This window comes from Homo sapiens, chromosome 5 (genome assembly GCF_000001405.40).
Source record: "Homo sapiens chromosome 5, GRCh38.p14 Primary Assembly".
Lineage (NCBI taxonomy): Eukaryota > Metazoa > Chordata > Mammalia > Primates > Hominidae > Homo > Homo sapiens.
Genome location: NC_000005.10, coordinates 128880737 through 128902784, shown reverse-complemented (window position 1 = coordinate 128902784; position 22048 = coordinate 128880737). Strand labels below are relative to the sequence as shown.

Sequence of the window (22048 nt, the reverse complement as noted above, 5' to 3'; positions counted from 1 at the left end):
GTCCTATTCTACACTGTTTTCCAATTTTTGATGCATTTCTTGGAGGGACAAAAATCTCATAATTCCTTAAAGATTTAAAGCTAATGCTTTTTTAGAGATTTCTTTCTGTAGGGCTACTATCTAGCTGCATAGAGTCAGACCAGTTCTTTCTTAGAGCAGATAACGTTGGCTTTTTCCATTTTTTCTTTTTGAGGCCGGCCTTTTTTTTTTTTTGCATATAGGGATAATCATAAGCCAAAGTCACAATGAGAACACCTACAATGTTCTGTGTGTGTATGTGCATTTGCATGCTTGTGTGTGTGTGCCTGACTTGTGTGAGAAGTCTCTATAGGATTTCATGTGTCTGGCAGACAAGTGGCTTTATCTCTTAACACAATACATTTGTTCTTTCAGCTCTGTAAGTCCAACTTTATTAATGCCACATTTTACAAATTATATCTTTATCCCTCTAAAGTTATAGAAGACTTTAATTTTAAGAATAAATAGAAGGTTCTTAAATAAAAACATTAACTAGTCCTAAAATTATGTGGTCGATTATTAAATAATATTACCACAGCTGAATGCTTTGGAAGATTAACAATGAAGGATATAAAATGTCATATGGCCGTGATATTTATGTATTCATCTTAAGTTGTTTTAATTTTCAGTGTTCCTACGATCATAAGCATGCCTGCACATACTCTTGAATGAGGACTGGATGGTAACCATCCCTGTGAATACCATTCCTTTGTTTTTGTGCTTGTTTGAGCATGATTATCTTCTCACTAAATTCTTGGCTCTGGAGCTAGGAGCTTTGGTTCATATTTTTACTCTATAGCAATTAGTACAGTGCCAGTGTTTTGCACATAGATGATGCTAATCACTATTTGTAGCTATATTAATAGCTAACAGCTATTGATTAATAGGTAAAATATTTATATTGCGATGAAACTCACCATTTATAATTAGTGTTGCCATCTTTGAGTAAGGATAAACAATTGATACTATTTGGTTTAACAGTAAGTGAACGGCTGTGCACCCATATTCTGATGTTAACCTGAGCCTCTTGTGACAATATGTGGTTTTTTAAAAGATGGCTGCAAATTCTTTGACACTTCTCCCATTGAAGCTGAGCACAATGTCCCTTCCCCTTGAATCTGGGCCAGTCTTTGACTGCTGTGATCAAGGAATATTACAGACGCGACACTGAGCTAGTTCTAGGTCTAGCCTAAAAAGGATTGACACATTTCACTTTAGTCTCTGGGAGCCCTGGGCCAGGGCAGTAAGAAATCTGACTAACCTGAGGAAGAGAATGTGTGGAGAAGCCCAGAGGCTACGTTGGAGGGGGAGGAAGAAAGGTAGCCCCAGGAAACAGGAATAAGAGTGAATCCATGTGGACCCTCCAAACCAGAGTGGCTGCCAACTGAATACTACCACGTGACCACAGTGGATGCCACATGCAGTGGAAAAACCTCTCAGCTGAGCACTGCCTGAATTCCCAACGCACAAAACCATGAGATATAATGAGTGAGTTGTTGTAAACCACTACTTTTTGGTATAGTTTCATACCTAGCAATCAATAACCAGAACACTCTACATCTCGGTTTGCCCAGAACTGTACCAGTTTCTGCCAGTTACCTAAGACACCCTGTCATGATTTACATTTGTTCCAGATTCTTCATTTTTTACAAAATATTATTAAATACTTGTGTTAAAATAAGCTAAGGTGGGTTTGGTAGTTTCTGTTAGTCTTATTTAGAAAAGTGTGAGAATTATGGGGAATGAATACTTTCAACCTGAAACCTAATTTAAATTTAAAGACAGGTAACATAACCCCTTCTCTTTCCCTGGCACCCTCAGCCATATAAAATCTAACATTTCCCTTTCCAGGTCGGCATGCAGGGTGTTATGTTTCTGGTACATAAGTGGTGAGAGGAAGCCATCTCCTCTTGGTCTGGGTGGTGGTGGAGGGCGGAGCATTATACACTGTCTTGGTCCTATGTTGGTTTATAAAATACACAAATCTGCCAATCACCAGTCCCACATAAAACTATGCTCATAATAGATGGTGGTGAGGGGCATCTGGGGTAAAACACAGGAATGTATAGGTTAAGTATATGACAAATGTGTAGGAAATAGAACCAGAGCTGTTGTTTTATAAAATGAAGAGAGGAAGTAGCTTGTACTCTTAATATAGTGCTATTGTCATTATTACATCATATAACTCTACAATATTGATTTATTTATTGTTTCTCAATTTGTGAAATTTCACAACAAATTTTCAGCAGCAATGAGCTAAAGATGAAAGTGAATATTTCATGATAATTAAATATTGAATTTTTATTTTCCAAGAAACTAGATGACAAAAAGTAATTTGCACAAAATGTTTGTCATTTCCTATCCACCATGAGATCTCTACTGTATCACTAATATATGAAAACCAGAAGACACAGATCATCTAAAGAAGCATCAGCCATCTACCTCAAAAATTTATTATTTTGAGACTGTGCCAGAAAAAAAAATTTGTGTGTGCAGTCATAGAAAATGTGTCTACATATCAACCTGTGAAGCATAACTTTCATGTACATCAAAAGACAATTTTTTAAATTAAATACATTCAGTTTCAATTCCCAGGTTTCTTGTGAACATAAGAAAATGAAGCAATAGGTTTTAATGCATCCACTGTTAGCAAAAGAAAAACACTGTAAGCAGTTAATTAATGCTGTTTCTTTATCAGTATCATTAAGTGCTTCAAATAGAAATCAGTTAAACTCATATCAATAATCATTCAAATATTTTTCATCTAATTATTGGAATCAAAGAGAAGTTTTTAGTTCACTTCGCAAAAGTAAAACAGCTGACAATGTAGATGCTATTGTAAAATTCGTTGAAAAATTTAAAAATAAAAATATGATTTGGTAATAAAAATATGAAGAGAAATTTAGAATAAACACAGCTTCATGATAAAATAATAATCTTAAAAATAAAAGGACAATTCAGCTGGAATTGGTCATGATGAACACATAATTCAAAACCAAGTTCAAACAAGTTTCACAATTCTACTGACTGAAATGGAATATGTTAATTGTCCAAATTTACAAATTACAAATATTATTACACATATAATTGGATAAACTAATCTAAAAATCTTTGCAAGTAATCTAATGCTTAATATTTTACAAATCATTTCAGCCTTGCTGCAGATACTTTATTAATTGAATATTAATTGTAGATTAGATATATTTGAGCCTTGGAAGAACTACCTTGTAAATCAACCTTAAATTTCTATGATGTCATTGAATATTTCTGTAAGTTAATTCTTTAAAGTTTAGAAGAAATTTTCTTTAAAATAAATTGGAAACATTTAAAGTGTTCCACAAATTGAGCACCAAAAATGTTTGAAGAATTGACGTAATGCATCACCTGAAAACATTGAAACAATAAAAATCATCTTCACAGAAGCTAAAGAGGAACTGAACAAAATAGATAATGTGAGCTTAAAGAATGTACAAGATTGGCCAGGCACAGTGGCTCATGCCTGTAATCCCAGCACTTTGGGAGGCTGAGGCGGGCAGATCACAAGGTCAAGTGATCCAGACCATCCTGGCCAGCATGGTGAAACCCCATCTCTACTAAATATACAAAAATTAGCCTGGAGTGGTAGCACATGCCTGTAGTCCCAGGTACTTGGGAGGCTGAGGCAGGACAATCGCTTGAACCCGGGAGGCTGAGGTTGCAGTGAGCCAAGATCATGCCACTGCACTCCAGCCTGGTGACAGAGCAAGACTCCATCTCAAAAAAAAAAAAAAAAAAAAAAGAATGTACAAGATTACAAGATTTAAGTTTGTCATTCTACAACTGAAAATTACAACATCTCAATCTGCAGGAAGAATCTTTAATGTAGCTCCTATTTTTAATAAATTTAAATTCTATACTGGATTAAAATAAAATTAAAAAGGGCCATAGTTTGCCAAATCTGGCAAAATATTGAAAAGAAGCATACATAGGATTTTTAAATGAATTTTTGGAGCAATATTTGTCAAAGATGGTTTTCTGAATTGAGTCAAAATAACTCCTAAAATATTAAGCTGAAAAATTTCACAGTTTAAATAAAAACTAATTTAAATGGAGAAAGTCTTCCATTTAGTAGAATTTGCTCTGAACTTATTAAGCATGTCAGCTTTCATAGGCAGAATGCTTCATCAAGTAAAACTATCATAATCTACAAACAGATCAGGCAAATTCAGCATCATAAAATATAATTTTCAAGAAGATTGCAGATAATTTTATGAAAAATCAATAAGAACATTGCATTGAAAAATTATTCTCTATAAATTAACAATGACAAGGTATTAAAAGCAGAAATAGCTATAAACTGATTAAAGTATATAAAATATATGTATCACAGAATCAATTATTTTGCTTATGTTATTCTAAATTTTCAGCTAATCAATAGTTTTGTTTTAATGTAAATAAACATAGTCTATCTATGAAAATAAATTTTAAGTAGGATAATTTTTATAGTTATATCAAAAATATAAAACCAATTTACTATCCTATAAGTATTTTCAAAATGTATAACATTTTGATGATTTTAGTGCCCAAATTTGTTCTCAAAAGTATCCCAATTCGGGGTATAAATTATTTGGTTACTTTACTTATTTCTATTCTGATTTATTGTTTTTAGACACTTTACTTTGCTCATCACATAACCTCCTGCCATCATTGGCGGATTATTTTTCTTTCTTCACGCCACAGAAAAAGTCCATTTTCTTATATTCTTTTCCAGTCTAACATTCCTCTTCATTTTTCTATGTACCCAACTTTCTCGTCCCTGAACACATTTTTTCCCTTTCTGATGTCTAAGACATTGCTAATCCACTTACCTGACCTTTTGAATGTTTCTTTACTAAAACAGCCTGCAGCAATCTTCTTCATCCTTCAACATCTAGCTCAAATATTTTCTCCTCCCAGATTCCCTAAGCCACAATTAATCTCATCTCTTTTATTCTTTCCTAAGAGCTTTACTTAAACATTTGTTGGAGCATATATTTGCTTTCCATAGCAGTTAACTACATGCCCAGCTTTCTTCCTCTAAATCATTGTGTTTTTAAAACACCATATTTTCTGGTTTATTTCTGCATTTCTTCCCTTCCAGACCCTCCCTACTGTGGTACAGTGGATTAAGCAGAGTGGTGCTCTATAGTTTTTTCAACTAATTACAATCTTCTATAAATATTACTGACTTATCTAACTCTCTGTACACATGCAATCCTTACTAGTTTTATGTATTTAATGCATTAAATCTTATACCCTTTTCACAATGTGCCTTAATTGAGCGTTCTAATCCAAGCTCTTAACTATTCGCTTTCAAAAATGGCCTTCTAAGTTTTTTCTCTCAAATGGATACATTTTCCCGTTTCCTTTACCATCTCTTAGTTTTGCCCCAAAGTCTATGTAGCCTTTCACATTATAATTCTAATGCTTCTGACAAAAGATGACAATTTCTTCTCAATTTTTAACCCTCAATATTTCTCTGCACAAATGATAACACATGGAAAGGGGCAGAGCAAGGTGACAAAATAGAAAGCTGCACCGGGTGTACCCCAACAGGAACACCAAATGTAACAACTATCTACACACAAAAAGCACCTTCATAAGAATCAAAAATCAGGTGGTACTCACGGTCCCTGGTTTTAACTTCATATTACTGAAAGAGTCACTGAAAAGGGCAGGAAAGACAGCCTTGAATCAGCAATACTACCTCTCCCACCATCCTCCAGCAGCGGCAGCATGGCACAGAGAATCTGAGTACTTGGAGAGGGAGAGCACAGCAATTGTGAGACTGTTTACATTGAACTCAGTGCTGCTCTGTCATAGGGGAAACAGAACTGGGCTGTACATAGCTGATACATGCCCACAGAGGGAGCATTTAGACTGGCCATTGTCAGAGGGGAATTACCATCCCAGCGGTCAGAACATGAGTTCCAGAAAGCCTCACCACTGCAGGCTAGAGTGCTGTATATAAACTTGAAAGGCAGTCTAGGCCACAAGGACTAAAACTCCTAGGCAAGTTCTAGTACTGAGCTGGTCTCAGAGCCAGTGGACTAGAGGGCACATGACCTACTGAGACAACCGCTGGGGTGGCTAAGAGCGTGCTTGTGCCATCCCTTCCCCAACACCAGGTTGCACAGGTCACAGCTCCAAAAGAGACCCCCTCCTTCTGTTTTAGAAGAGGAGAGAGAAGGGCAAAGAGGACTTTGTCTTACATCTCGGATACCAGCTCAGCCATAGTATGATAGGGCACCAGGCAAAGTTGAGAGGCACCCATTCCAGGCCTTAGCTCCTGGACAACATTTCTAAATACACCTTGGGCCAGAATGGAACCTGCTGCCTTGAAGGGAAGGGTCCAGTCATGGCAAGACACATCACTTGCTGAATAAAGAGCCCTTTGGCCTTGAATAACCGGCAGTGATGCACAGGAGGTACACTGTGGGCCTTGGGTGAGACTCTGAGATGTGCTGGCTTCAGGTATCAGCTCAGCCACAGGGAATTAGGGCACCAAGAGGCCTCTTGAGGTCACTGATTCCAGGCCTTGGTTCTTATGGCACTCCTGAACCTTCCTTCAGCCAAAAGGGACATCACCATCCTGAAGGGTAAGTTCTAGGACTGGCAACATTCACCACAAGCTGACTGAAGAGCTCTTGGGCCTTCAATGAAATCAGTGGTAGCCTGGCAGTATCCTCATGGATCTGCTTGTTGTGGCCATGGGCTAGAGCTCCTTTGCCTGTAGAAAGAGGAGGGAAGAGTGGGAAAGACTGTCTTGTGAATTGAGTGTCAGCTCAGCAGCAGTACAATAGAACACCAGGTAGACTTCTAAGGTTTTAGACCCCAGTACCTGCTTCCTGGACAGCATCTCTGGACTCACCTGCAGCATGAGGGAGTTTGCTGCCCTGAGGGAAGGACACAAGCCTGTCTGGCTTCACCACCTGATGATTGTACAGCCCTAGGTCCTTGAGTAAACAGAGGCAGTAGCCAGGTAGTGGTTACAGTGGACCTTGGGCAACACCCAGTGCTGTGTTTGCTTCAAGTCTGATCCAGTGCTGATCCCAGTGGTGGTGGCCACAGGGGTGCTTGTGTCATCCCACTCCCAGCTCCAGATGGCTCAGTACAGAGACAGACAGACTGTATATGTTTGGGAGAAAGTAAGAGAAGACAACACAAGTCTTTGCCTGGTAATCCAGAGAATTCTTCCAAACTTTATTAAAGACTGCCAGGTGCCATCTCTATGAGTCTGTAAGAACCACAGTGCTACACAGTGCCCCCTAATGCAGATATGGCTTAGATCACACCACCTAAGTTCTGTTGAATACTTGGAAAGCATTTCCAAGAAGGATGGGTATAAATAAGCCCAGACTGCAAAGTCTACAATAAATACCTAACTCTTAAATGTCTAGACACTGATGAATATCTACAAGCATCAACACCATCCAGGAAAACATGATCTCACTAAACAAACTACATAAGGCATCAGGGACCAATCCTGGAGAAACATAGATATGTGACCTTTCAGACAGAGAATTCAAAATAGCTGTGTTGAGGAAACTCAAAGAAATTCAAGATAACATAGAGAAAGAATTCAGAACTCAGTAAAATAAATTTAACAAAGAGGTTGAAATAATTACAAAGAATAAAGCAGAAATTCTGAAGTTGAAAAAATACAATGGACATACTGAAGAACACACTGGAGTCTTTTAATAGCAGAATTGGTCAAGCAGAAGGTAGAATTAGTGAGCTTGAAGATAGGCTCTTTGAAAATATGCAATCAGAGGAGACAAGAGAAAAATGAATAAAAAAACAATGAATCATTCCTGCAGGATCTAGAAAATAGCCTCAAAAAGGGCAAATCTAAGAGTTATTGCCCTCAGGGAGGAAATGGAAAAAGAGATATGGGTAGAAAGTTTATTCAAAGGGTTAAAAACAGAGAACTTCCCAAACCTACAGATACTAATATCCAAGTATAAGACAGTTATAGAATACCGAGTAGATTTAATTTAAAGAAGACTACCTCAAGGCATTTAGGATTCAATCTCTCAATGGTCAAGGATAAAGAAAGTATTCTAAAAGTAGCAAGAGAAAAAAACAAATAATAAATAATGGAGCTCCAATGTGTCTGGCAGCAGACTGTTCAGTAGAAATCTTACAGGCAGGGAAGGAGTGACATGACATACTTCAAGGGCTGAAGGAAAAAACTTTTACCTAGAATAGTATATCCAGCAAAAGATATCCTTCAAACATGAAGGAGAAATAAAAACTTCTTAGACAAACAAAAGCTGAAGGACTTCATCAACACCAGGCCTGTCCTATAAGAAATGTTAAAGGGAGTACTTAAGTCAGAAAGAAAATGACATTAATGAGCAATAAAAATCATGTGAAGGTACAAAACTCATGATAGTAAGTACACAGAAAAAAGCCAGAATATTATAACACTGTAATTCTGTTGTGTTAACAACTCTTATTTTATGTAGAAAGAACACAAGATGAATCAATAAAAAATAATAACTCCAACAACTTTTCAGGACATAAGTTGTACAATAAGATATAAATAAAAACAACACAACAGTAAAAAGTAGGGAGACAAAGTTAAAGTGTAGAGTTTCTGTTAGCTTTCTTTTTGTTTGTTTTTTTGTTTATTTATGCAAAGTGTTAAGTTGTTACCATATTAAAATAATGGGCTATGAGATAGTATTTGCAAGTCTCATGGTAACCTCAAACCAAAAAACATACAATGGATACACAAAAAATAAAAAGAAAGAAGTTAAATCATACCACCAGAGAAAATCACCTTCATTAAAAGGAAGACAGGAAGGAAAAAAAGGGAAGAAAGAGAAGACCACAAAACAACCAAAAAACAAGTAACTTATCAATAATAGCATTTAATGTAAATGGACTAAACTCTCGTCAGAAGACATAGAATGGCTGGATTGATAGAAAAACAAGACCCATTGATTCCGTTGCCTACAAGAAATACGTTTTACCTGTAAAGACACATACAGGCTGAAAATAAAGGGATGGAAACAGATATTCCATACCAATGGAAACCAAAAAACAGCAGAAGTAGCTATACTTATATGAGAAAAAAAATAGATTTCAAAATAAAAACTGTAAGAAGAGACAAAGAAGGTCACTATATAATGATAAAAGAGTCAATTCAACAAGAGGATATAACAATTATAAATACATATTCACCCAACACTGTAGCACCCAGATATATAAAGCAATTATTATTAGAGTTAAAGAGACAGACCCCAATACAATAAGAGCTGGACACCTTAACACTCCACTTTCAGAATTGGACCGTTCTTCCAGACAGAAAATCAACAAAGCAATTTCAGACTTAATATGCACTATAGGCCAAATGGACCTGATAAATATTTACAGAAAATTTCATCCAATGGCTGCAGAATATACATTCTTTTTCTCAGCACATGAATCATTTTCAAGGATAGATCATATGTTAAGTCACAAAACAAGTCTTAAAACTTTCAAAAAATTGAAATAATATCAAACATCTTCTTTGACCACAATGGCATAAAACTAGTAATCAATAACTAGAGGAATTTTGGAAACTATACAAATACTTGGAAATTTAACAATATGCTCCTGAATGACCAGTGAGTCAATGAAGACATTAAAAAGGAAATTTAAAAATTTTTTTAAACAAATGATAATGAAAACATAACATACCAAAACCTATGGGATACAGTGAAAGCAATAATAAGAGGGAAGTATATAGTTTAAGACCTAGCTAGAGCAATCAGACAAGAGAATAAGTGCCTACATCAAAAAAGAGGAAAAACTTCAAATAAACAACCTAGCGATGCATCTTAAAGAACCAGAAGGCCAGGCGTGGTGGCTCACGCGTGTAATCCCAGCACTTTGGGAAGCCGAGGCAGGTGGATCACTGGAGCCCATGAGTTCAAGAGCAGCCGGGGCAACATGACAAAACCCTAACCCTACTAAAGACACAACAAGTATCTGGGTGTGGTGGCGTGCACCTGTAATCCCAGCTGCTCGGTGGGCTGAGGCAGGAGAATTGCTTGTACCCAGGAGCTGGAAGTTGCAGTGAGCCAAGATTGTGCCACTGCACTCTGGCCTGGGAGACAGAGCAAGACTTCAGAAAAAAAACGAACTAGAAAAACAAGGGCAAACCAAACCCCAAATTAGAAGAAAAGAAATAATGAAGATCAGAGCAGAAATAAATGAAATTTACATGAAGAAAACAACACAAAAGATCAATGAAACAAAAAGTTGGTTTTTTGAAAAGTTAAATAAAATGAACAAACCGTTAGCCAGAATATTAATAAGAAAAATGGAGAGAGGCCCTAAACAAATAAATCAGAGATGAGAAAGAAGACATTACAACTCATAACACATAAATTCAAAGGATCATTAGTGGCTACTATGAGCAACTATATCCCAATAAATTGGAAAATCCAGAGGAAATGGATGAATTCCTAGATACATACAACCTACCAAGACTGAACCATAAATAAATCCAAAACCTGAACAGACCAATAACAAGTTATGAGATTGAAGCTGTAAGTAAGTCTTCCAGCAAAGAAAAAACCCAAGACCCAATGGCTTCACTGCTGAATTCTACCAAACATTTAAAGGAGATCTAAAATCAATACTGCTCAAACGATTCTGAAAAATAGAGGAGGAGAGAATACTTCTGAATTCATTCTGCAAGACTGAAATTACACCAATACAAAACCAAACAAATAAATACAAAAAAGAAAACTACATGTCAATATCAGTGATATGAGAAAATCCTCATTAAAATACTAGCAAACTGAATTCAACCCCACGTTGAAAATATCATTCATCATGACCAAGTGGGATTTATCCCAGGGATGCAAGGATGGTTCAACATATGCAAATCAATCTATGAAATTTATGCAATATATCATATTTTATGTCAACATTATATATCAATAACCTATGAAGGATAAAAACCATATGATCATTTCAATTGATGCTGAGAAAGCATTTGATAAAATTCAACATCTTTTTATGATAAAAACCCACAAAAAGCTGGGTATAGAAGGACCATACTTCAACAAAATAGAAGCCATATGTGACACACTCACAGCTAGTATCATACTGAATTGGGGAAAAACTGAAAGCCTTTCCTTTAAGATCTGGAACATGACAAGGATGCCCACTGTTACCACTGTTATTCAACATAGTATTGGAAGACCTAGCTAGAGCAATCAGACAAGAGAAAGATATAATAGGCATCTATATTGGAAAGGAGGAAATCAAATTATCCTTCTTTGCAGATGATATGATCTTTTATTTGGAAAAATGTAAAGACTCCACCAAAAAATTATTAAAACTGATAAACCAATTCAGTTAAATTGCAGGATACAAAATCAACATACAAAAATCCGTAGCATTTCTATATGAAAACAGTGAACAATCTGAAAAAGAAATCAAGAAAGTAATCCCATTTATGATAGCTACAAATAAAATTAAATACCTAGAAATTAACCAAAAAAGTGACAGATCTCTCTAATGAAAACTTTAAAACATTGATGAAGGAAACTGAAGACGACACACAAAAAAATAGAAAGATATTCCAAGTTCAGGGATTGGAAGAATCAATATTGTTAAAACGTCCATACTACCCAAAGCAGTCTACAGATTTAATGTAATCTCTATCAAAATACCAATGTCATTCTTAAGAGAAATAAAGAAAATAATCCTAAAATTTATATTGAATCACAAAAGACCCAAAACAGCTAAAGCTATTCTTAGCAAAAAGAACAAAACTGGAGGAATCACATAACCTGACTTCAAATTACACTGCAGAGCTATAGTAACCAAACAGCATAGTACTGGCATAAAAACAGACACATAGACTAATGGAACATAATAAAGAACCCAGAAACAAATCCACACACCTACAGTGAACTCATTTTCAACAAAGTTTCCAAGAACACTCACTGGGAGAAAGGACAATATCTTCAATAAATGGAAAAAGATATCCATGTGCAGAAGAATGAAACTTGATCTGTATTGCTTGCTTTATACAAAAATCAATTCAAAATGGATTAAAGACTTAAATATAAGACCTCAAACTATGAAACAACAACAAAAACACATTGGGGAAACTCTCCAGGACATTGGAGTGGACAATGACTTCTTCAATAATACCCCACAGGTGCACTCAACCAAAGCAAAAATGGACAAATGGATCACATCAAGTTAATAAGCTTCTGCATAGCAAAGTAGACAATCAACAAAATGAAGAAACAACCCACAGAAGTGGAGAAAATATTTGCACCACCCATCTGACAAAGGATTAATAACTAGAATATCTAAGGATCTCAAACAATTCAATAGAAAAGAAATTTCATAATCTGATTAAAAATGAACAAAAGATCTGAGTAGACATTTCTCAAAAAAAGACATAGAAATGGCAAGCAGGTATATGCATAGGTCTCAATATCACTGATATCAGAGAAAGGCAAATCAAAATTATGGGTTATCTCACCCTAGTAAAATAGCTTTTATCCAAAAGACAAGCAATAACAAAAGCTGGTGAGGATGTGGAGAAAAGGGAATCCTACATTGTTGATGGGAATGTAAATTAGTACAACTGCTACAGAGAACAGTTTGGAGGTTCTTCAAAAAACTAAAAGTTGTGCTAACATATGATTAAGCAATACCACTCCTAGGTACATACACCCCAAAAAGGAAATCAGCATATTGAAGAGATATCTGCAGTCCTGTGTTTATTGCAGCACTATTCACAATAGACAAGACTTGAAGCAACCTAATTGTCTATCAACAAATGAACAAATAAAGAAAATGTGGTACATATACACAACAGAATACTATTCAGCCATAAACAAGAATGAGATCCTGTCATTTGCAATTACATGGATGGAACTGGAGGTCATTATGTTAAGTGAAGTAAGCCAGGCATGGAAAGACAAACATCATACATTTTCACTTACCTGTGGGACCTAAAAATTAGAACAATTGAACTCATGGAAATAAAGAATAGAAGGACAGTTACCAGAGGCTGAGAAGGGTAGTGGGGATGGTGGGCAGGAAGTAGAGATGATTGATGGGCACAAAAAATTGTTCAGAAAAATAAATAAGACCTGGTGTTTGCTAGAACAACAGAGTGACTATAGTAAAAATACTTTAATTGTACATTTAAAAATCACTAGAAAAGTATAATTGGATTGTTTGAAATTCAGAGGATGGGTGCTTGAGGTGATGGTTATGCCATTTTACCTCATGTGGTTATTATGCGTTGCATGCATGTATCAAAGCATCCTATAAATATGTACACCTACTATATATCCACAACAACTAAAAATTTTAGAATAACAACACATGATTTCTTTATAAATTGAATACCAAGAGAAACAAACACATATACTATTTGGCACAAATAGATGAGAATGGTAAAGCTATGGATATTTTAGTATAATGATGTTATATAGATGGCAGCATTCAGAAGACACAAATATAATCATATTTAATCAAATGCAACTCACCAAAAAAGATGTGAGAATTTGTTTAGTTAACACAAACAATAAAAAATTGCTTGACATTAATTTGTTATAATAGCTTTGTTGTATATTTAAAAATTGACATCATAAAATTCAAAAAGCAAATAAGAAAATTATATGCTATAAAACTCTATGTAGTAAGAAGTATTAAAATAGAGATCAGATTTTGAGTATGAATGAGGAAAATATTACTGGCTTTATTTGTAGCTTCATGTTCATTATAACTTGATGTACAATATAATTTTTTAAGTCATACTTAGTACTTTTTCAGTTTTATATGTCTACTGCTTTGGAAGTTATACATTCTAGTTCTATTTTTTATTGACTTAAAAGTTATGTGTGCATGCATTACCTAAAATCTAATAACATTTAATATCTCTGTTATTCCTAAATGACTAAGGGCTTCTTGGGCATATTAAATTACAATCACCAACCCCTTTCAGCCTTTCATACCATTATTTTAGTATTTTTTTGTTGTTTCTTTAAGCACAGTATTAGGCATTGCTATCATTTTTTAAAAACAATTAATGTTAATTTAAGTTTACCTACAAGTTCAACCATTTATTTGCACATTATTTCATCCTACATCTCAGACATCCATTTTTCTTTCAAAATTTCTTTAGTTAAGGTCTACTGGTAATTAAATATAAATTTTTGGTTGCCTGAAAATGGATGCATTTCAACTTCATTGTTGAATAAAAATGTACCTGGGAATACAGTTCATGTCAACGGTTATATTTCTTTTACATCCCTCAAGTTGAAATTCACTACTTTCTAGTGTCCCCAAATATTGTTTAAATTCTCAGTCTTATTTACAATCTGTCTTTATATCCTGTCTGAAGATCTTTACTTTGCAGTTTTCCTATGATTTGCTCCTGAATCTTCATTTTCCACCAGTTCTGTAAGATTCTCTATCCCTTTAAATATTATCTCTTCTTCTCAATTACTTTCTTTGGGACTCCAGTTAAACATATATTAGACATGTTCATTCTATCCACTACTTAGCTACTCTTATATTCTTCATCTCTTTTTCTCACAACTTTGCATTCTGAGTAATTTCTCCATATCTTCTGCTTTATTAATTATCTTATCACTAGTCAATCTTTCATATTACTCTAAATTTCCATCTGATATTATATTCTTTCTCCCAAAGAATATGCTTTGCTATTTTAAAAATACTACTTTGATCATGATTTCTTTAGTTGAAAATGTCTTATTTTCCTTCTTTCTTGGAATAAGGTTTGCATGAGACCATAATTTGATTTTGACCATTTTTTTTTTAGCTGTTTGAATATAACCTTCCCTTGTTTTCTGGCTTTTCTTATTTCTTAAGAAGTTTGTCAACAGTTAGTCAAACAGGTGCTCCTTCAATAGTAATCTGATATTGTTTCCTATCCATTTTTGAAATTTTTTCTTTGTATCTTTAGTTTTTAAATATTTTTATTATATGTCTGGGTGGGGTTTTGTTATCCCACTTGGAGTTCATAAACCTGTAGCTTGAATCTTTTTCAGTTATGGAAAATGCTTAGGCATAATCTCTTCAACTATGGCTTCCACTCTTTTCTCTCTTTATAGGACTCCAACTATATTTGTGTTAGACCTTTTGCCCTATTCTTTATGCTTTTATCCTATATTCCTCTTTTGCCTCATTTTTCTCTCAGTTTTTTGTGGTGGATTTTTTTGTTCTAAATTATCTCCCAGTTTGCAAATTCTCTGTTTAGCTATCTCAACTGTGCTGTTTTCACCATCCATTAGTTTTCATTTTTATTACTGTTATTTCCAATTCTAGAACTTCTATTTGGTTCATTATCCAATCTGCTATGTCAGTTGTTTACTTGAACTATGGTAATTATTTATTTTGAGACATAATTTGCATACTATATGATTCATCATTTTGATGTGGTTTTATTCACTGGGTTATGCAACCATCAACACTATCTCATTCCAGAACATTTTCATTACCCCCAAAAGAAATTCTATATCAGAAGCAGGCACTCCCCATTATTCCTATATCCACCTTCTGCCAACCCCTAATCTATACTCTTTCCATAGGTTTGCCTATTGTGGATATTTCATATAATTCAGGCATACACCATGCAGGCATTTGTGTCTGGCTTCTTTCAGTTAGAATAATGCTGTCAAGGTTCATCAATGTAGCACGTAAGAGTACTTCATTAATTTTATGGATGAATAATATTCTATTGCATGGATAAGTCACATTTTGTTTATTTCTTCATCCATTGATAGAAATTTGGGTTGTTTCCATGTTTTGACTATTTGACTAATGTTATCTTTTGTAAACAACATAAAACAACATAGAGCTGAATCATTTCTTATATCTATTATTTCAATCTCTGCCCTTTAATTGAAGTATTTCATGCAATATTAAGGTGGGATTTGTATCTGCCATTTCGTTATTTGTTTTCTATATGTCTGGAATTTTTTTCCTCAGGTATCCGTATAGTTCACTCTCTCATAGTTCTTTTGTTTTTTTCCCAAATATCAGCTCCTCAGTGAGATCTTTCCTGGTCACTCTTTTCAAAATGTAAGCATTTTCAACATGCATACATTTCCCAACTTCTTCTCCTTCTCAATGCTTTCTTTTCAATATTTATCACTATCTAGCAATTATATAGTAAATTTATTTATTTAATGTATATATTATACTGTACGCAAACAAATTTAGCTTACTAAATTGTAAGCTCTGTGTGGGTAGATGTTATTTTTTCTGTTTTGTTTACTGCTGTATCTCTAGCACCTGGAAGAGAGTCCTGCCCATACTAGATGTCCAATAAATATTTTGTGGAATGAATGATCAAAATAACTGGGCATTTTTTCTATAAATTTGTCAATGAAGGCCAGTTGTTGGTTTCTTTTTTCAGTCAACACTAAAAAATTGTAAAATTGAATTTTAAATGCCACATTTATAATAAATTAAAAGAGAAGCCACTTGTAATGTTTATTATATGTGCTACACAATAAAGTTTAGGCTTTTAGAAGGTAAGGAATGCAAAATAAAATTCAATAGATGCATTAAAGTCTCTGTGTGTACATGATCAGAAGGTAAACTTGATCTGGCTCAAGGGAGTTCCTAATCTCAGCATGCTATTTTCTTCTTACAGATGGAGCAAAAGGTGTTAAGTGGCTCTAGACATTCCAGACATATTCACTGAGCTCAAAATACAGATATCTTACTGCCACTTAACATTCTCTCTTTGGTATCTCAAGGGCTCACAATCTCAACATATCTAAAACCAAAATATATTTCTCTTTACACTGGGATCTCTTCCCAAGAATGCCATCTCAACCATCTTATTACATATCACCCTTACTCAGTTTCCTGCAATAGATTCTTAACCAGTCATCTGTATTCCTCTCCAATCCATTCTACACACTACAGCCAGCACAAATTTTGCTAAAACATATCTGCTTAAAATATTTTATTGGCTTCCCATTTCTTCCTCTTTAATTAATGAAGAAATCCTGAACTGGGCCTAATGCTCTGAAATTGGTTTGCTCCCTGCCTGCTCCTTCATTTTAAACCACTCTGCCCCTCTCCTCTTTATATAGCTGGCACACTCACCATTTCTTATTTCTTAGAATACACCTTGTTTGCTCCTGTCATTTTGTTCCTGCTTCCTGGCTCTCACTGTCTCTTATTCTATCTCCACATACATATCTTCTTCTCTCCCTCCTCATCTAGAGAGAGCTATTACTACACACCCACCAGATCTTAGCTCAATCCTTTCATTTTCAAGGAAGCATCCCTTGTCCATCTCCCCCTTCCATATCTCCATGTATATATATCAGATATCTTGGTTAAAATCTCCTATAAATCAAGTTCCTTTTTCTTCATGGCATTTGTTGGGGTTGTAATTAAATACTACTCTCCTATAGGATTATTTGATTAATATTAATATTTTAAGCTCTACAATGTCAAGGCCATTCTAGTTCTGTTCTGTATGTTTTGCCCAAATACAATGCCCAGAACAGTAAGTATTTATGAATGTATGATATAGCTCCATATGAAGTAGACTAATACCTGATGTTATGGCATCCATACAATTTCCTTTTTGCATCACCTTCACTAACATTGACCTCTCTTGCCCCCAGAGACTGCTCCACATAGCAGATATAGCTATCTCAAGCTGTTGGGACCAACGAAAACAGGACTGCTCAATCATGTGCTCAAAGACCAGTAATAAAAATATAACTTTATCAGGCAAACACATGGGGCACCACATACAAAAAAGATAGTTACATCATGAGTTACTGATATCCACACCCTCTTTTATATCTGATATGTATAAAGATTATCCTATTTCCTGTAAGTAAATAAATATATGTATATGTATGTATTAGAAGTATGTTTATGTGTCTATCCAGAAAATCAGTAATAATCAGACATGTAGTCAAGTCACTCAACTCTCTTCTTTTACTAACTGTTGACCACAGACCCAGCTATCTGAAAACTATGAGGTTGGCAAACTTGTTTATATTGTGTTATATGGTGTTTTTCCACCATACTTTTTAACTATCATTGCGCTTACTCTCATTCTTTTCTCATGACCGCTCAAGATCTCCTGAGATCCTTTAGATACCTCACTGCCTCCTTTATGTCTTCCATCTTTGCTTCCTTTACATTTCTCCCCTGGTATTGCATGTAAAAAATATAGGGCATCCAAATTGGTAGAAAGGAAGTCAAACTGTCACTGTTTGCAGATGATATGATAGTATCATCATATCATGACAATAACCTAGAAAACCCTAAAGACTCATTCTAAAAGCTCCTAGAACTGGTAAATGAATTCAGCAAAGTTTCAGGATACAAAAATTAACGTGCACAAATCGGTAGCTCTGCTATATACCAACAGCAACCAAGCTGAGAATCAAATCAAGAACTCAACCCCTTTTACAATAGCTGTAAAAATAAAATAAAGCACTTAGGAATATACCTAACCAAAGAGGTGAAAGTCCACTACAAGGAAAACTACAAAACACTGCTGAAAGAAATCATAAACAACAAAAACAAATGGAAACACATCCCATGCTCACGGATGGGTAGAAACAATATTGCGAAAATGACCATAATGCCAAAAGCAATCTACAAATTCAGTGCAATCCCATTTAAAATAGCACCAACATTCTTCACAGAACTAGAAAAAAAACTATCCTAAAATTCATATGGAACCAAAAAGAGCCTGCATAGCCAAAGCAAGATTAAGCAGAAAGAACAAATCTGGAGGCATCACATTACTTGAATTCAGACTATACTATAAGGCCATAGTCACCAAAACAGCATGGTACTGGTATAAAAACAGGCACGCAGACCAATGGAACAGAATAGAGAATCCAGAAATAAAGCCAAATACTTAAGCCAACTGATCTTCGACAAAGCAAACACAAACATAAAGTGGGGAAAGGACACCCTATTCAACAAATGGTGCTAGGATAATTGCCAAGCCAGATGTAGAAGAATGAAACTAGATCCCCACATCTCACATTATGCAAAAATCAACTCAAGATGGATTAAATACTTAAATCTAAGATCCAAAACCATAAAAATTCTAGAAGATAACGTCAGAAAAACCCTTCTAGACATTGGCTGAGGCAAAAATCAAGAACCCAAAAGCAAAAACAACAAAAACAAAGATAAATAGACAGGATTTAATAAAACTAAAAAGCTTCTGCACAGCAAAAGAAATAATCAGCAGAGTTAACAGACAACACACAGTGGGAGAAAATCTTCACAATCTGTACCTCTGACAAAGGACTAGTATCCAGAATCTACAAAGAACTCCAACAAATCAGCAAGAAAAAAACAAAAAATCCCATGACAAAGTGGGCTAAAGACATGAATAGACAATTCTCAAAAGAAGATACACAAATGACCAACAAGCATATGAAAAAATGCTCAACATCACTAATGATCAGGGAAATGCAAATTAAAACCACAATGTGATACCACCTCACTCCCACAAGAATGGTCATAATCAAAAAATTTAAAAAAATAGATGTTAGCGTAGATGTGGTGAAAAGAAACATTTTACACTATTGGTGGGAATGTAAACTAGTACAACCACTATGGAATACAGTGTGGAGATTCCTTAAAGAAATAAAAGTAGATCTACCATTTGATCCAGCAATCCCACTACTAGGTATCTACCTAGAAGAAAAGAAGCTATTATACAAAAAAGATACTTGGACACACATGTTTATAGCAGCACAATTTGCAATTGCAAAAATATGGAACCAGCCCAAATACCCATCAATCAATGGGTGGATAAAGAAAGTGTGATATTGGGAGGCCGAGGCGGGTGGATTACCTGAGGTCAGGAGTTCAGGACTAGCCTGACCAACATGGTGAAACCCCGTCTCTACTAAAAAATACAAAAATTAGCCAGGTGTGGTGATGGGCACCTGTAACCCCAGCTACTCGAGAGGCTCAGACAGGAGAATTGCTTGAACCCATGAGGCAGAAGTTGCAGTGAGCCAAGATCACACCATTGCACACCAGCCTGGGTGAAAAAAGCGAAACTCCATCTCAAAAAGAAGATTATATATATATATGTATACACACACACCATGGAATACTACTCAACCATAAAAAGGAACAAATAATGGCATTTGCAGCAACCTAGATAGTATTGGAGACCATAATTCTAAGTGAAGTATCTCTGGAATGAAAAACAAACATTGTATGTGCTCACTCATTAGTGAGAGCTAAGCTATGAGGATGCAAAGGCATAAGAATGATACAGTAGACTTTGGGGACTCCAGGGAAAGGATGGGAGGGGGTGAGGGGTAAAAGACTACATACGCATTGGGTATAGTGTACACTGCTTTGGTGATGGGTGCACCAAAATCTCAGAAATCACCACTAAAGAACTTATTCATGTAACCAAACACCACCTGTTCCCCCAAAAATCTATTGAAATAAAAAATAAAGTAAAATAAAATAAAGGCAACATTAAAAAATTATCAAATGATTTGTAAATATCCTCAGAAAAATAATTTCTAGTGGTGAAATTTCATTATACAAAATAGACTGTCAGATGGTAATTTTTGGAGCAAGAAATATACGCTTCTCTTATTCAACAGTATAGGTATCCTCTAACAACTAAAGACAGCACAGCTCTTTTCCCAATGGTTCTATTCTTAGCTAGTGTAGAAAAAAAAATCAGCTAGTACAATATATAAGGAAATGTATCTTTTTACAGCTCCTAAAAGTGTTTTAAAAGAAAGAACCCCACCCCTAAAACTAAACATTGCGGTGCTTGCTATAGATTTTCTCTCTGTCTTTGGAAACTGCCCAACTATTTTCATATGGTGCTTAGTAGTAGTTCTCCACCCCCATGATTGATGTGGTTTGAATGTTAATGTTAAAGTTTCCTTGTCATCCAAAGTGATTTCCGAGGATGATCTGTTTCCTTTCAAACTTCAGACATTTTAACTCACACTCTGAAAATAGCCAAGGCAGTTCTTAAGAGAATCAAGTTAACTTACCATCAAGAGTATCCGAAAAAAAAGCTTTTTTCTGGATCCTAGTCAGTGTTATTGGATATTCTTGGACGTGACTGAAGATCTAAAACATGTTCTAACTATAGTCACTAAAGAAAACCAATTCTTTTTATTTAAAGTTAAATGAGATTGATTTTAAACATTCATTGTTTGCTATAAAATCATGTAAGCTTTGCTTTGATTAGTTAATCAAACAAAGAAAGGCTTTAGGGTCATTGCTGGGATAATATAAAAATGTTTCTCAATATTTAATTTTTGATTATCTGGATAGTTCAGGTAACAAGCTTTGTTTTCGTCTAAATTTCTCAGGCTATTTCGCAGCTATGGACATACTCTGATCAACTGGAGTGGGTACCTCTCAAATAGCAACTATGGGAGTGTTTCTAATTTTCTCTTATCCAAATTTTATTTAGAGAAAAGTGTTCAGTTTTGTACAAAGGAGACTAGAAAGAAAAAAGGATTCCCAAATTAATGTCATGTAAAGATGAACTGAAATGTGTAGAATTGTTAGTAATGGTGAGGTAGGAGGTGGGACGTGATTCCAGAGGTGGGGCTCAGACATCAGACCAGATTGAGGACTAGATAAAAGGGAGAAATGGTAGAAACACCTCTCCATAAGACATGCCCAGCAGTGTGCCATGTCAGTTTACCATTGCCATGGCAAGACCTGTAAGTTACTGCCTCTTTCCATGGGAATGACCCAACAACTTGGAATGTACTACTCTTTTACTAGAAATTGCTGTATAATCTGCTCCCTAATTTGCATGTAATTAAAAGTCGGTGTAAATATGACTGCAGAACTGCCTTTGAGCTGCTGCTGTCAACACAGTGTCTACGAGGAAGCCCTGCTCTACAGGAGCAGTCATGAAGCTCTAACACTGCCATGTCAGTAAAGCTGCTTTCTTCTACCACCAGTTTGCTCTTGAATTCTTTCCTGAGCAAAGCCAAGAACT

The 22048-nt window shown here is 35.2% G+C and overlaps 1 long non-coding RNA gene across 1 annotated transcript in view; it reads right to left on the bottom strand.

Annotated features, from left to right (window-relative positions):
• The window catches only part of LOC105379168 (uncharacterized), a 273909-nt gene that overhangs the window by 32981 nt on the left and 218880 nt on the right, over nucleotides 1-22048 (bottom strand). The gene's annotated exons all lie outside the window — the stretch shown is intronic.